General features: G+C 52.2%; 10 annotated features.

Annotated features, from left to right (window-relative positions):
* Window positions 839-1,039: a silencer, noted in NCBI's record as "peak4987 fragment used in MPRA reporter construct". NCBI's record gives its function as "represses an SCP1 promoter by STARR-seq MPRAs in K562 erythroleukemia cells {active_cell/tissue: K562}" and the evidence as "EXISTENCE:reporter gene assay evidence [ECO:0000049][PMID:32103011]".
* Window positions 8,571-8,740: an enhancer, noted in NCBI's record as "experimental_67551 CRE fragment used in MPRA reporter constructs". NCBI's record gives its function as "activates a minimal promoter by MPRAs in K562 erythroleukemia cells, with activity observed for the non-introgressed 3:195553259 variant allele {active_cell/tissue: K562}" and the evidence as "EXISTENCE:reporter gene assay evidence [ECO:0000049][PMID:34662402]".
* Window positions 8,571-8,815: a biological region, named in NCBI's record as "Neanderthal introgressed variant-containing enhancers experimental_67549, experimental_67550 and experimental_67551".
* Window positions 8,641-8,800: an enhancer, noted in NCBI's record as "experimental_67550 CRE fragment used in MPRA reporter constructs". NCBI's record gives its function as "activates a minimal promoter by MPRAs in K562 erythroleukemia cells, with activity observed for the non-introgressed 3:195553199 variant allele {active_cell/tissue: K562}" and the evidence as "EXISTENCE:reporter gene assay evidence [ECO:0000049][PMID:34662402]".
* Window positions 8,646-8,815: an enhancer, noted in NCBI's record as "experimental_67549 CRE fragment used in MPRA reporter constructs". NCBI's record gives its function as "activates a minimal promoter by MPRAs in K562 erythroleukemia cells, with activity observed for both the introgressed and non-introgressed 3:195553184 variant alleles {active_cell/tissue: K562}" and the evidence as "EXISTENCE:reporter gene assay evidence [ECO:0000049][PMID:34662402]".
* Window positions 9,614-9,783: an enhancer, noted in NCBI's record as "experimental_67545 CRE fragment used in MPRA reporter constructs". NCBI's record gives its function as "activates a minimal promoter by MPRAs in K562 erythroleukemia cells, with activity observed for both the introgressed and non-introgressed 3:195552216 variant alleles {active_cell/tissue: K562}" and the evidence as "EXISTENCE:reporter gene assay evidence [ECO:0000049][PMID:34662402]".
* Window positions 9,614-9,804: a biological region, named in NCBI's record as "Neanderthal introgressed variant-containing enhancers experimental_67540 and experimental_67545".
* Window positions 9,635-9,804: an enhancer, noted in NCBI's record as "experimental_67540 CRE fragment used in MPRA reporter constructs". NCBI's record gives its function as "activates a minimal promoter by MPRAs in K562 erythroleukemia cells, with activity observed for both the introgressed and non-introgressed 3:195552195 variant alleles {active_cell/tissue: K562}" and the evidence as "EXISTENCE:reporter gene assay evidence [ECO:0000049][PMID:34662402]".
* Window positions 10,697-11,384: an enhancer, noted in NCBI's record as "OCT4-H3K4me1 hESC enhancer chr3:195550530-195551217 (GRCh37/hg19 assembly coordinates)". NCBI's record gives its function as "activates a minimal SCP1, AML or CMV promoter by ChIP-STARR-seq in naive H9 embryonic stem cells {active_cell/tissue: H9 hESC(naive)}" and the evidence as "EXISTENCE:reporter gene assay evidence [ECO:0000049][PMID:30033119]".
* Window positions 13,180-14,379: an enhancer, noted in NCBI's record as "P300/CBP strongly-dependent group 1 enhancer chr3:195547535-195548734 (GRCh37/hg19 assembly coordinates)". NCBI's record gives its function as "activates an origin of replication core promoter dependent on BRD2, BRD4, P300/CBP, MED14 and CDK7 cofactors, with strong dependence on P300/CBP, by STARR-seq in HCT116 cells {active_cell/tissue: HCT116}" and the evidence as "EXISTENCE:reporter gene assay evidence [ECO:0000049][PMID:35650434]".

Below are 15,581 nucleotides of genomic sequence, written 5' to 3'. Positions count from 1 at the left end.
AAGTGGTCGACGACAGCAGGGGCCATGCTGCCCCATGACCTCTGTGTGTGCCAGGACCACCCAGCCTCCTTGGCTGCCCAGTGGCGAGTCCAGCTCAACCTCCTCCCGGGGCCCCAGCACCCCCGGCACATTTTCTGACTTTACATAGGTCATCGGGTAAATGGTGTCACCTGCATGAGCCTCAGTGTATCCATCTGGGAAAGGGGAAGAACCTCCCAGCAGGCTCTTCTCACAGTGGTATTGCAAAGCGAAAATGAGATTCGGATGCAGACACACGTGGGGAGGGAGCCTGTGAGGCCTCTGCTAAGGCGAAAACCCATAACACACACGACTGGCTCTGCTCAGGCCATCGGCTCTGGGGCCGCCTCGTCCCATGTGGGCTCTGGCTTTGCTGACACCGTTCCCTCATCTGGAGGCTCTTCCTCTGACCCTCAGTGGACCCACTTGACAGATGGTCTGATGTGCCTTCTTCCTTTAAGGAAGACATGGTGTCCTTCTGGTTTTGGAATCAGACCGAGCTGGGTTCAAATCCTGTCTGCTGAATGGTTTTGGTCGCAATGGCTTCTGCTTTCTTAGAAAAAGTCCCAGATTCAGCCGGGTGAGGTGGCTCACACCTGTAATCCCAGCACTTTGGGAGGTCGAGGCAGGTGGATCATGAGGTCAGGAGTTCAAGACCAGCCTGGCCAACATGGCGAAACCCTGTCTCTACTAAAAACACAAAAAATTAGCTGGGTGTGGTGGCATGTGCCTGTAATCCCAGCTATTCGGAAGGCTGAGACAGAGAATTGCTTGAACCCAGGAGGTGGAGGCTGCAGTGAGCTGAGATCGCACCACTGCATTCCAGCCTAGGCCACAGAGCAAGACTCCGTCTCAAAAAAAAAAAAAAAAAAAGGGAAAGTCCCAGATCCTTCAGATGGCCAATAACACCCTTGAAATGTCGTCATCCGGCCATTTGCCTCGGCACCACTTGGGGAAACAGGTCCCAGGGAAGACTCACAGACTGAGGCTCCAGGGAGGGCATGGCCGGCCCCAGAGCCTGCACTGAAATCAGCTTCCTCAGGACATTCTGATGCTCACAGAGCTCGGAAACCCAAAGAACCTGCCTCCTGCCCCGCTGTGTAAGCCCACCTCACTCATCCCGCTCCCTCTGCCCCAATCCCCCCGTGTAAGCCCAGCTCACTCATCCCACTCCTGCTGCCCCAATCCCCCCGTGTAAGCCCAGCTCACTCATCCCACTCCCTCTGCCCAATCCCCCGCTGTGTAAGCCCAGCTCAGTCATCCCACTCCCTCTGCCCCAATCCCCCCCGTGTAAGCCCACCACACTCATCCCGCTCCCTCTGCTCCAATCTCCCCCTGTGTAAGCCCACCTCACTCATCCTGCTCCCTCTGCTCCAATCCCCCTCTGTGTAAGCCCAGCTCACTCATCCCACTCCCTCTGCCCCAATCCCCCGCTGTGTAAGCCCAGCTCAGTCATCCCGCTCCCTCTGCCCTAATCCCCCGCTGTGTAAGCCCACCTCACTCATCCCGCTCCCTCTGCTCCAATCCCCCTGGACTTCTTTCAGATCCTAGGATGGGCAAAGTGTCTCTCTACCTCAGGGCCTTAGCACAGGCCATCCTCGGCCCACAGCAGTGGTGCCAGCCTCTGCCTGGCTAACCTCACCCTCCTCCACTGGCCCCTGGTCAGGCATCCCTCTGCCAGCCTCTCACTGCCAGCTAAAGTCGGTACCCTGCTGTATGTCCCTAGAGTGTCTCTGCTTTCCCTTCATAATGCTTATGGCAGTTATAATTATTTGCTGGCCTTTGTGTTTATTATCTGCTTCCAGACCAGGCTGATGAGAGCAGAGACACCAGCCTTCCTCCCCACTGCCTTTATCTCTGCTTCTAGCTTCACCCCTGGCACAGATAGGCACTTAATAGACATTGTTTCAACAAAAAATGAACCTTTCAGTTTAATTTTCTCATTTGTAAAACAGGGTGTTAACATCTACTTTTTAAAGATTCAGGCCAGGCACAGTGGCTGACATCTGCAATCCCAGCACTTTGGGAGGCCGAAGCAGGTAGATCACCTGAGGTCAGGAGTTCAAGACCAGCCTGACCAACATGGAGAAACCCTGTCTCTACCAAAAATACAAAATTAGCCACTTGTGGTGGCGCATGCCTGTAATCCCAGCTACTCGGGAGGCTGAGGCAGGAGAATCGCTTGAACCTGGGAGGCGAAGGTTGCAGTGAGCCGAGATTGTGCCATTGCACTCCAGCCTGGGTGACGGAGCGAGACTCTGTCACAAATATAAATAAATAAATAAATATTCAATGAGTAGAGATTACTTGTATATATATTTACCTGCTGTAATTTTTTAAAAATTATTTTTAATTGACAGAGATGATCTGTATTTCTGTGTACAGCATGGTGGGTTTTCTCAAATTTTTTTAACTTTGTGTGTGTGTGTGTGTGTGGTAGACACGGGGCCTCACTATGTTACCCAGGCTGGTCTTGAACTCTTGGCTTCAAGCAGTCCTCCCACCTCCACCTCCCAAAGTGTTGGGATTACAGGCGTGAGCCACCACGCCGGCCAGCATGGTGTTTTGATAGATGTATACATTGTAAAATGACTACATCAAGCTAGTGAACGCAGCGTTACCTTACAAATGTGTGATTGTGTGTGGCGAGAACACTTTGAATCTGCCCCGTCAGCCATTTTCAAGTGCATGATACATTCACCACAGTCACCATGGCGTGCAGTAGTTTCGAAGGATGTTTCAAACGAGAACACTTTTTTTTTTTTTTTTGAGACGGAGTCTCGCTCTGTCGCCCAGGCTGGAGTGCAGTGGTGCCATCTCGGCTCACTGCAAGCTCCGCCTCCCGGGTTCACGCCATTCTCCTGCCTCAACCTCCCGAGTAGCTGGGACTACAGGCGCCCGCCACCACGCCCGGCTAATTTTTTGTATTTTTAGTAGAGACGGGGTTTCACCGTGTTAGCCAGGGATGGTCTCGATCTCCTGACCTCGTGATCCGCCCGCCTCGGCCTCCCAAAGTGCTGGGATTATAGTTGTGAGCCACCGCGCCCGGCCTCGAACGAGAACACTTTGAATCTACCCTGTCAGCCATCTTCGAGTGCATGATACGTTCACCATCGTCACCATGGTGTGCAGTAGTTTCGAAGGATAAGTTTCGAACGTATCCTTCCAGTTTAACTGAAGTTTTGTGTCCTCTGACCAACGTCTCCCCAATCCCTCCATCTTCAGCTTCCAGTGACCACCTTTTGACTCTGTTCCTGCTGAGTGTGACTTTTTAACATTCCGCATATAACTGAGAACATGCATTATTTATCTTCTATGGGTGGCTTATTCCTTTTCACATAATGTTGGCCAGAGTTATCCATGTTGTCACAGAACAGAATTTCCTTTTTTAAAAGGTACGTAGTATTCCATCATATATCTATACCATGTTTTCTTTATCCATTTATTCGTTGATAGACAGGTTGATTCCATATCTTGGCTATTGTGAATATTACTGCAGTGAACACTGGAGTGCAGACATCTCTTTGACATACTGATTTTAGTTTATTATTTTTCTATCGCTGCTGAACAAATCAATGTGGTTTTTGTTGTTGTTGTTTGTTTGTTTGTTTTGAGACAGAGTCTTGCTCTGTTGCCCAGGTTGGAGTGCAGAGGCGCGATCTCGGCTCACTGCAAGCTCCGCCTCCCGGGTTCACACCATTCTCCTGCCTCAGCCTCCCAAGTAGCTGGGACCACAGGCACCCGCAACCACGCCTGGCTAATTTTTTGTAGTTTTAGTAGAGACGGGGTTTCACTGTGTTAGCCAGGACGGTCTTGATCTGCCGACCTCATGATCCGCCCGCCTCGGCCTCCCAAACTGCTGGGATTACAGGTGTGAGCCACCGTGCCTGGCCTGTTTTATTTTATTTTTAGACAGAATCTTGTCTGTCACCTACGCAGAAATGCAATGGTGTGATCATAGCTCACTGCCGCCTCGAACTCCTGGGCTCAAGTGATCCTCCCACCTCAGCCTCCCGAGTAGCTGGGACCACAGGCATGAACTACCACACCTGGCTAATTTTTAAAATTTTTTGTAGAGACAGGGTCTCGCTATGTTGCCTAGGCTGGTCTCAAACTCCTGGGCTCAAGCAATCTTCCTGTGTTGTCCTCCCAAAGGGCTGGGATTCCAGGTGTGAGCCACTGCACCCAGCCGGCCACTGCACCCAGCCGACCACTGCACCCAGCCGGCCACTGCACCCAGCCGACCACTGCACCCAGCCGGCCACTGCACCCAGCCGGCCACTGCACCCAGCCGACCACTGCACCCAGCCGGCCACTGCTTTTATATACTTTGGATATCCACCATGCAGTGGAATTGCTGGATCCTATGGTAGTTCTATTTTTAATTTTTTGAGGAACCTTCAAACTTTGCCATAATGGCTGGTACTAATTCACGTTCCCGGCTGTATACAAGGGTTCCCTTTTCCCCACATCCTCCCCAACACTTACTATCTTTCGTCTTTTTGTGAAAACCATTCTAACAGGAGTGAGGTGATGTCTCATTGTGGTTTTAATTTGCATTTCCCTGAGGGTTAGTGATATGGAGCATTTTTTCATACACCTGTTGGCCTTTGTATGTCTTCTTCTGAAAAATGTCCGTTCAAGTCCTTTACACATTTTAAAATTGAATTACTTGTCTTCTTGCTATAGAGTTGTTTGCATTCCTTATGTATTTTGGAAATTAATCTCTTATCAGAAGTATAAGATTACTTATAAGAAGTAATCTCTTATCAGAAGATAAGAAATTAATCTCTTATCAGCCACCGGTGTGAAAGGCGCTGACAGAGTTCAACAGTTAGTAGCAAGTCCATTCTCTCAAGTGGTCATTCCGGCCGCTGGCCCTCAGGAGTCCTTGAAGCCTGGACGGGGCCCAGCCGGGGGTCAGAGGTCTACACCTTCCCAGGCTGCCTGCTGGAGAAACATGCCCTGACTGGGAGCCGGCCCAGAGGAGCTGGAGGGCGGGCGGCAGGTCGTGGCCGTGCAGTTGAGGCTGGCTGGCTTCTCTCGGCTCACGGCCAGAATGAGTATCAGTCCCGTCGGACCCCAGCCAGCCCTCATGGGGAGCACAGCTTCGTTGTGACAAAGATGACCTGGGCCAACTTGCCTCACCCCACCCAATGGGGGGCTCCTCAAGGCAGGGGGCTGGGCCTTTTTTGTCCTTTGGGTGACTCCCCTACACCCAGCGCAGTGCCAAGAACACGGCCAGTGCTTGCTTAATGATCTTCAAATGAACCTATGGGTTAATAAATGAGCAACATGGCCTGGCTTAGTGCCTTGGTCCTAGGATGGGGATCATATTTGAATGGACCAGGCGGCCTGGATGTGGGGAGGGTGTCCTTAGAAAAGGAAGTGGCTCAAAACTTCGTGCTGGAGGGTGGTTAAGGAGCTGGGGATGGGATGGGGAGGCAAGCCTGGACTTGGGGGTGACACGGTGGCTGCCTTCCAACATCTAAGCTGCTGCCCCAGAGAGGGGGTGCGGGGAGCTGGCTGGGCACGATGAGGAACCAACGCTTGTTAAATATAATAATAATAAAAATGCCTAACAGTTTGTATTGTCAAGAAACATCATAAAGATCGGGAGTTCTCAAGTTCCCTATTACGAGAAGGGCGCAGCCAGGGCTGGGCAGGGCTTGGCAGGGGCTACAGTAAGGCTTGGTGTGGGCTACTGTAGGGCTTGGCAGGGGCTACTATAGAGTCATATTGCACAACTTTTTTTTTAACTACAACTCACATAAAAATACATTTCTGCCTGGGACACGGTGGCTCATGCCTGTAATCCCAGCACTTTGGGAGGCCGAGGCGGGTGGATTGCTTGCGGTCAGGAGCCCAAGACCAGCCTGGGTAACCTAGTAAGACTCTGTCTCTACACAAAAAAATTTTTTTAATTAGTTGGGCATGATGGCACATACCTGTGGTCCCAGCTACTCAGGAGGCTGAGGTGGGAGGATCACTTGAGCCCGGTGGTTGAGTGACCTGTGATCGCACCACTGCATTCCAGCCTGGCCAACAGAGCAAGACACTGTCTCAACAAAGGAAAAAGATTCGTAACGCAGTTCTCTACACATGCAGACACACAGCTTTTTGCAGTGCCCGGTGCCTGGCACAAGTCCAGGGAAGGCTTCAAGCCGGCTGGCCCTGGGGGTCCTTTCGGCCTGGCGTTCTCTGCAGGCCCCGCTCCTTCCTGCCTCCTTCCTCCCTGGATTCCTCTTGTCCCTTTACCAGCAGCGGCCGTCTTCTCAAGCAAGTCAGGCTTCTGTTAACACTAACCGGAGAAAAACTCAATTTGGAAGATACAGCTTCATTTTAAAAACCCACAAGATTTTTGTATTATAAAATAATACTTCGTGTTGAAAAGATCGACAAGCAAAATGAACAAAATGAAAGTTACCCCTAATCCTAGCACTCAGAGAATGCCAATGTTACACTTTAGTACATTTCATTCTGGGCTTTTTTTCATGTTATGTAGCTTTTTAAAAAAGTTGGGATCATACTGCATAAGCCATTTGATAAACGTGTCACTTCACACTGTTTTATTACCTGTCACCCGATTGCTATATACAGTAGATCTTTGAACAACGTGGGTTTGAACGGGGCAGGTCACTTACACACAGATTTTCTTCCACCTCTGCCATTCCTGAGACAGCAGGACCAACCCCTGACCCTCCTCCTCCTCCTCAGTTGGCTCAGTGTGAAGTCGGCGAGAATGAAGACCTTCGTGATGATCCACTTCCACATAATGAATAATAAATATATTCTCTCTTTCTTATAATTTTCCTAACAACAGTTCCTCCTCTCTAGCTTACTTTACTGTAATAATACAGGATATAATACATAGACCAAGTATGTGTTAATTAACTGTTTATGTCATCAGCAAGGTTTCTGGTCAACAGTAGACTATTAGTAGTTAAGTTTTTGGGGAGTCAAAGGTTATCTATGGATTTTCAGCTGCACGGGGGTTGCTGCCCTTTAACCCACGAATTGTTCAATGGTCAATTGTATTCTTCCACAAGATCAGCTTTAAATTTTGTTTATTTATTTACTGTTTATTATTATTATTATTATTTGAGACAGGATTGCGCTCTGTCGTCCAGGCTGGAGTGCAGCAGTGCTATCCCCACTCACTGCAACCTCTGCCCCTGGGGCTCCAGAGATCCTCCCACCTCAGCCTCTCAAGCAGCTGGGACTACAGGCACATCCACCAAGCCCGGCTAATTTTTGTATTTTTAGTAGGGACAGGGTTTTACCGTGTTGGCCAGGCTGGTCTCAAACTCCTGGGCTCAATTCATCCACCTGCCTTGGCTCCCAAAATACTGGGATTACAGGCATGAGCTGCCACTCCTGGCCTTCCACAAGATCATTTTAAAGAATATTTTGTATTCCATTGCACTAATGCATTATAATCACCAAACTCCAGTCGTAAGCCAGCAGGTAGTTTCCAAGTGCTGCCATGCGCAAACATTTTTGTATACTTGGCTGGCTATTCCCTTTGAGTGAATTCCTAGAAGTAAATTTGAAGGAGTAGATGTAGAATCTTCAGACTTTCACCGCGTCAGGCCGGGCACGGTGGCTCACGCCTGTAATCCCAGCATTGTGGGAGGCCAATGCCGGTGGATCACTTGAGGTCAGGAGTTTCAGACCAGACCAGACGGTGAAACCCCATCTCTACCAGAAATACAAAAATTAGGCTGGGCACAGTGACTCACGCTGTAATCCCAGCATTTTGGGAGGCCGAGGTGGGAGGATCATGAGGTCAAGAGATTGAGACCATCCTGGCCAACATGGTGAAACCCCGTCTCTACTGAAAATACAAAAATTGGCCTGGCGTGGTGGCACAGGCCTGTACTCCCAGCTACTCAGAAGGCTGAGGCAGGAGAATCCCTTGAACCCGGGAGGCAGAAGTTGCAGTGAGCCTTGAGATCAGGAGTTCAAGACCATCCTGGCCAACGTGGTGAAACCCCGTCTCTACAAAAAATACAAAAAATTAGCTGGGGGTGGTGGCACACGCCTGTAATCCCAGCTACTCAGGAGGCTGAGGCAGGAGAATCGCTTGAACCTGGGAGGTGGAGGTTGCAGTGAGCTGAGATCACACCACTGCACTCCAGCCTCAGTGACAAGAGTGAGACTCCGTCTCAAAAAAACAAAAAGAATTAACTCCCATATATGAGGAAGAACACTTTTTAGGCTGCTGTCAATGAACAAAAGCAAAAACAGGATTTTAAAAAGAGGGAAGGAGAAAAAGAGTAGTATGGGAAGAGTGATTTTTGTTTTTACATTTTTTTAGCCAATAGATAGGCGGGTGGCTGGGCAAGGGCCCCACTAGGCCGTCTGCCCCTGAGCTGGCTGGCGGGGGCTGCGGGAGGCCGCCCTTTCCTTCTGGATTCTCTGGGAAGCCAGGAGAGTTCAGCCGTGCCGTATGCGACTGGGGGGCTCTGTGTGAGGTCTCTCAGGGCCCCTTTCCTTGGCCACAGCCCCTTGTTGAGGGGAGTCCTCAGCACTCCCTCCTCAGAATGGCTCCCAGTAACTACCTCCTGGGGTTGGGACCGAACAGTATCCGTGCCAACACCTAGAAACATCGGAACATCGCAGTCACTTCTGCCATAACTCTTGTTTCAGAAACGCTAATTTGTTCCAACATGATTGACATAGTAGGGTACAATCTGAGGTAAGTGTGATTTTTTCAGTTATTTATGAGCGGTCTCATTTCGGGCCCTGTGCTGGCCACGGAGACGTGGGGGACGGGGCTAGACGGCACCCGCGGTGAAACCTAAGGCAGCGGAAAAGCCAGCACCCTGCGCCCGTTGGCCTGGGCTTCCTCTGGGTCTCGGATGTCGGAGACAATTTTTCACTGGTTCCCCACGTTTCTGCAAGTCTCAGGAGCAGATGCGCCGACGGCCTTTTGCTCTGGACTCTCGTCAAGGACGTGTATATAGTGAAAGTCTCGGCGCGCAGGGACAGCGTCTCCCTCTGGGGCAGAAGCGAGATTTGCTCGCTGTCCAGTGTAACAAAGACGACGTCCACCCCCGGGAAAGGTTGGGCAGGTTTGCTTCGCAGCCCCTCATGACAGTCCGGCGTTTCCTAAGCACGGGGATCCCCGGCGGTGAGGCAAACCCAGCTGTGCCACAGAATCCACCTGGGCCTCTGCGTAGCCCCCGTGGGGTTTGGGGAGCAAAGGAAACGGGAGTGAAGAGGAAGCTCGTTCACACTGAGCAACGTGCCGTGCCGTGAGTGACAGAGTCCTCTGCCCTGGGCCAGGGTCTCTGGTCTTCTGCCAGCGTCCTTCAACCATGGCAGGCTCGCCCGTGAGCTTGCAGGCCGGTGAAAGCTCAGGCCTTCCCAGATCTTCATACGAGGAGGTCTTCTCAGCTCAGTAAGTGGACTGTGAAACGATGGTGTTCGGCCTGGCCCAGGAGGGAGCTGCAGGGGAGGCGAGGCTGGGGCACTGGCACCCGTACTGGCACTGGCACCCGTAGGTCTGTCTGGGGAAAAACCCGGGGCAGGAGGGCAGGAGAGGAAGCGAAGGTTTGCCTGGGTTGGAAACAGCCCCAACAACTCCCTGGCCAAGAGCCGCCTCTTCCCTGAAGAAGGAAGCCTTGGGGGCAGTCCCTGGGGCAACATGAGGAGCGGCCTCCTCCGGGCAAGCATGCGGGCCTTCAGGGGACCTTGGCAGGGCTTCCTGAGGGGCAGGAAGGCGACCGCGAGGCCGAGGCAGGTAGGCAGGGCCTGACCCCGAGGGGAATCTCTGGGGCCAGAGGGAAGCTGGAAGTGTCTGGCCAGGGGCCAAGGGGGCTCCTGCGGAAGCCCCCGGACAAGGACTTTCCCGTTCTGGCTCCCGCTCACCTCTCTCATTCCCCATGAACTCCAGGACCCCCATTTCAAGTAGAAAACAGCCGTCCCGAGAAAATCCCCAAACACGAGAGCCCTCTGCACAGCCCCTCGGCACTTCCCACCCAGCACGCGAGCTGGGGGATGCTGCTCCCAAGCCGCAGGCTCTTCCGTAAGCTCTTCTGGAAACTTTCCTCCTCCCCGAGGCAGCCCCAGCGGCACTTGGACTCCAGCAGTGCCCAAAACCACACAGGGCACCTGGACTCCAGCAGTGCCCAAAACCACACAGGGCACCTGGACTCCAGCAGTGTCCAAAACCACACAGGGCACCTGGACTCCAGCAGTGCCCAAAACCACACAGGGCACCTGGACTCCAGCAGTGCCCAAAACCACACAGGGCACCTGGACTCCAGCAGTGCCCAAAACCACACAGGGCACCTGGACTCCAGCAGTGCCCAAAACCACACAGGGCACCTGGACTCCAGCAGTGCCCAAAACCACACAGGGCACCTGGACTCCAGCAGTGCCCAAAACCACACAGGGCACCTGGACTCCAGCAGTGCCCAAAACCACACAGGGCACCTGGACTCCAGCAGTGCCCAAAACCACACAGGGCACCTGGACTCCAGCAGTGCCCAAAACCACACAGGGCACCTGGACTCCAGCAGTGCCCAAAACCACACAGGGCACCTGGACTCCAGCAGTGCCCAAAACCACACAGGGCACCTGGACTCCAGCAGTGCCCAAAACCACACAGGGCACCTGGACTCCAGCAGTGCCCAAAACCACACAGGGCACCTGGACTCCAGCAGTGTCCAAAACCACACAGTCCCGGGATTTTGATGAGTCAGCACCAACACGTGTCCCAGTGCTCACAGAACTACGCAGGTTGGCGGTTGCACAAGCGCCAAAGGGGCCCTGGCTTCACGGCTTCATTTATTCTTGTTACTACTCCCTGCATGGCTTGGCCTGGGCTGCGTCCACGGCTGCGAGGCTCCTGTCCGCCTCATGGAGGCAGGTGAGGCCAGCGCCACCCAGGCCCTGCTTTTCTGCTTTCTCCACTTGTCTGTGGCCCTCCTGGGCAGAGGAGACCGTAGTCTCAGCATGGGCCTGATGAGGCACAGCTGGGGGCTTCTGGAGCTGCCATCTACCCAGGACAACCGTCTTCCCGTGTCCCTGGGGGCTCTGTGCTCTCCATGGCTCCTTAGTTCAAGGTCTGATCCGCACGCCTGGATCCAACCTCTACATTTGTTCAGCGCTCCCCTCCTGCCCTCCCCACCTCTTCCTGGCCTTCCTACCCTCTGTAGGCATCTGATGAAAGACCATACTTCAGGTCCTGAGAAGGATAAAGTAAGTTATTGGTTTTTAAATGCATAGATCACTTACACAGAAACACAGACTCACGGATAAAAACACCTGAGTTTTAGTTTTGCCTCTTGCTTCTGCAGAGGGCTGGTGGGGAAAGAAGGAGAGGCTCTAATCAAAGAGCAAGAATTTGGGTTTTTTCCTAATACTTTATGCAAAGTACAGTGATCTTGACTCTGACGGCACAGGGGCTGGAGGTGGGGCGTCTTTCCCACACCAGGTTCCTCTGAGAGCCGGGCTTGTGGCTGAATGCCAACATCAAGTTTCTTTGGAGAGCCGCACTCAGGCCCCTGCGCTGGTAGGGTCAGTTGGGTGAGGGCCTGCCTCTTGGCAGAGGGGCCAGAATAACGGAGGGTAGGTGGCCTAATTGTCATCACGTGACCAGGGCTTTGGGGATTGGCTGCTCCTGCGTGTTAAAGGGTGTGACACATTCAAAGACTCTCCAGGCAATAACGGCTTATGAATGTTTTTAAAGCAGTTTTTTTTTTTTAAGTGAATCTTGGCCAGGCGTGGTGGCTCATGCCTGTAATCCCAGCATTTTGGGAGGCCGAGGCGGGTGGATCACTTGAGGTCAGGGGCTTGAGACCAGCCTGGCCAGCATGGTGAAACCCCGTTTCTACTAAAAATACAAAAATTACCTGGGCGTGGTGGCGCACGCCTGTAATCCCAGCTACTCAGGAGGGTGAGGCAGGAGAATCGCTTGAATCCGGGAGGCAGAGAGATCATGCACTCCAGCCTGGGCAACAGAGTGAGACTCTGTCTCAAAAAAAAAAAAAAAAAAAAAAAAGACCAGCCTGGGCAACAAAGTAAGACCCTATCTCTATAAAAAATAAAGTAAGTTTTTTAAAAAGCAGATCTCACATGTAGATGAAGCTAATATAATAGTAACTGTGTTGTATGTAATAAATGCTATGATATAACATCACAATATATTGATTATTAGGTAATATGTATCAATTATTATAATGTAGATATTGGAGCTGACATTTAACTCCTCTCACACTGACAGATTACATCTGGGGTCTGCAGGCTTTAACAACTTGGAAAGTTGGTCTAGTGTCAGAATTTTAAGAAGCCCTCCAATCCCAGACCCCCGTCTTCTTTGCCCTTGTGTGTTATGCTCGGCAGTAGGCTGATGCGACCTCATTGCTTCTGCTTCTCAAAACTGCATTCTCACAGACTTCTCTCCCCATCTCGAAATCACAGGGCTTGAAGAAGTTACCAACTTGCCAACTGCTGCATGAAACACCTTTTACCCGCATGTGAGAATCACCTTTACCCGCATATGAGAAACACCTTCACCTGCATATCAGAAACACCTTTACCCACATATGAGAAACACCTTTACCTGCATGAGAAACACTTTACCCGCATACGAGAAACACCTTTACCCGCATACGAGAAACACCTTTACCCGCATACGAGAAACACCTTTACCCGCATACGAGAAACACCTTTACCTGCATACGAGCAACACCTTTACCCGCATATAAGAAACACCAGCTCACCTGGCCCAGCCACTTTGTGAGGACCCCTGAGACGACAATAGTCTCCTGAGCCCTGTGGCCAGATCCACCCCCTCACCATTCCAGAATGATTCCCTCAGCCAGAATCAGGCATTGCCACCACATCATGTCTATGACCTGGCCCTCCACCCAGAACAACCCCAGACTCTCCTTCCAAATAGTTTGTTTCTCTTTCCATGCCCACATCTGGGGGGCGGTGGCGTGGGGACGCTAACATTTGCTGAGAATCTACGACGTACTAAGCTAATAGGAATTACGTCTACTCTCCCCACTGTGCAGACATGGAGACTGAGGCTCAGCTAGGAAGTGGCTTGCCCACAGTGACTCCAAAGCTCCTGCTCTTTCCCCCAGCACCCACTCTGCCTCCTACAGCTCAACAGTAGCCCCTCTCTCACCCTGCTCCTCCAGCACGAAACCAGGAGTGCCAGGCTAGATGTTGCCCGAAGGCTCGCCCCCTGGGCCTCGCCAGGTCCCGGCAGCTTATGCTGTCCCTGGCACCTTGGGGCCAAAGCCGTCTCCGGACCCTGGAAGCTGAGCTTTCATTTCAGTGACAATGTCCATGCAGGCTTATGACGCATCACCCTCTTGCCCCCTCCTCCAGCTCCAGGAAGTGTGAGTGGGAACTGGGGCCGAGGAGTGAGAACACTCCAGGTGCACCCGAGGAAGCAGTTTCAAGGGGTGTGGCTTGGTGAGAAGTCCCTTTTTCCTCTAAAGGGAGAGTCTGGCATGTGTAGGCTAAAGAGAGTGTCTAGGTCGGGCTCCTGCTCACCTGGAGGGAATGCGGGGGTCACAGGCGGGTGAAGAGCAGGCGGACACACCTTTCTGTGCAATGCTTGAGGTTGAGGTGGGGTACGTTTATTTTTAGATATACTGTCCTGTCTCTCTCCCCTCTCCCACCCTTACCCCTTACCTTCTTCTCTGGTTACAGAAGGAAACAAGGGAATGTGATACCTTCCAGTCAATAGCAGGTCAACCTTTGAGAGAGCAGGGCTGAAACCACTGAGGCAGGTGTGGCCACTGCTGCCTGGGCCCTGCTTTTCTGCCCTCCTGGGCAGGGGAGGGGGTGGTCTCAGCACGGGCCTGATGAGCTACAGCTGAGGGCTCCTGGGGCTGCCATCTGCCTGGCCTCATGATCCAAGAAGTTAGATCGAGGAATAGTCAAGCTGGTCCCTTGGTCATGCCGCCTGGCTCCTGACTCAGTGGTGACAAGAGCCGAGATTTGGGGGATTTCCAGAGCCAGCCCAGGGTGATGTGGGCACACCTGCTGGTCTTCCCAAATAGGTCATCATTCGGCAAGAATCATCTATTGTCATGACCCATACACCTACCCTGCCCCAAATTTTCTTCAAGGAGGTTGTACTGGGGTGAGTACGTGTCCCCCAAAATTCATGTCACTCAGAATGTGACCTTATTTGGAAATAGGGTCTTTGCAGAGGTTATTAGTTAAGTTAAACTGAGGTCATGCCGAATTGAGGCAGAGCCTAATCCAGTGACTGGTGTCCTTATGAGAAGAGGAAACAGAGACACACGCACAGGGGAGAAGATGGCCACACAACACGATGGAGGCAGAGGCTGGAGGGACACGGCTGCCAGCCCGGGAATGCGGAGAATGGCCAGCCACCCCTGGAAACCAGGAGAGAGGCCAGGAGGGCTCCACCCCAGAACCTCCGGAGGGAGTGTGGTTCTGCCCACGCCTTGATTTTGGACTTCTGGGTTCCAAACTGTGAAAGAATAAATTCCTGTTTGTTTGAAGCCACCGAGTTTGTGAGCACTAAGGCAGAGGCCTTCCTGGATGGCCCTCACTGAGGCTTGTCTGTTGCCTGGCACACAGTCATGCCCAGGGCCACAGACCCTGTTGCTAAATGATCCTCTCTCCATGTTTAGATTCCACTAGCTCGTGACCCCGTGAGGGCACATAGGGCCACGTGGTAATGTGTCCGTCGCATTGTCAGGCTGCTCCTCTGCCTGCATTCTGCCTCCCCTGCACACCGGGGAGCAGAGCTCACCAGACCCCTCTTCTGTCCCCTGGCCAGCTTCAGCTGGTGCCTCCTCTCCCCAGGGAGCAAGGGGAACAAGGAACAAGTCTCACTTTCCAGCCTGATGGGCTAATCTCACTGCCTTCTTTCTCTGTTCAAATTTTGTCTGGATCACTTTCTTCAGGACAGTCGCTGGGCTAAGCATAGTGTCCAGTATCAAAATGAGAAGCCTGGCAGTTGGTCCTGGATCATAGCTGGGAGCTCACCCAGGAAAGAGCTGGGATGGGAAGGGGTTCTCCACCTTTTCCCCACCCACCTGCAGAGTCTTTAATCCACCCATCATTTTTAGGCTTCCGGAGTAATTATTCTATTTATTTTATTTTATTATTTCAAGACGGAGTTTCGCTCTTGTTGCCCAGGCTGGAGTGCAGTGGTGTGATCTCAGCTCACTGCAACCTCCGCCTCCCAGGTTCAAGTGATTCTCCTCCCTCAGCCTCCCAGGTAGCTGGGACTACAGGTGCACACCACCAACATTTCTACTAAGTTTGTATTTTTAGTAGAGATGGGGTTTCTCCATGTTTGTCAGGCTGGTCTTGAACTCCCGACCTCAGGTGATCTGCCCGCCTCGGCCTCCCAAAGTGCTGGGATTACAGGCGTGAGCCACAGCGCCCGGCCCCATTGTCAGCTCTGCTTCCGCCATTAGACCATCAACATTAAAAGGGTTAATTGATCACAAGTGTCCAAAAAAGTGCCGACATCCTGGACAGAGCAAGCTCATGTTTATGGACTTCTGACTGTAGAAGGAGGGTCAGAGCCGCCGATCAGAACACACCAG

Source organism: Homo sapiens, chromosome 3 (genome assembly GCF_000001405.40).
Source record: "Homo sapiens chromosome 3, GRCh38.p14 Primary Assembly".
Taxonomy (NCBI): Eukaryota; Metazoa; Chordata; class Mammalia; order Primates; family Hominidae; genus Homo; species Homo sapiens.
Note: the sequence above shows the minus strand (reverse complement) of the source record. Positions and strands in the feature narration are given on the sequence as shown.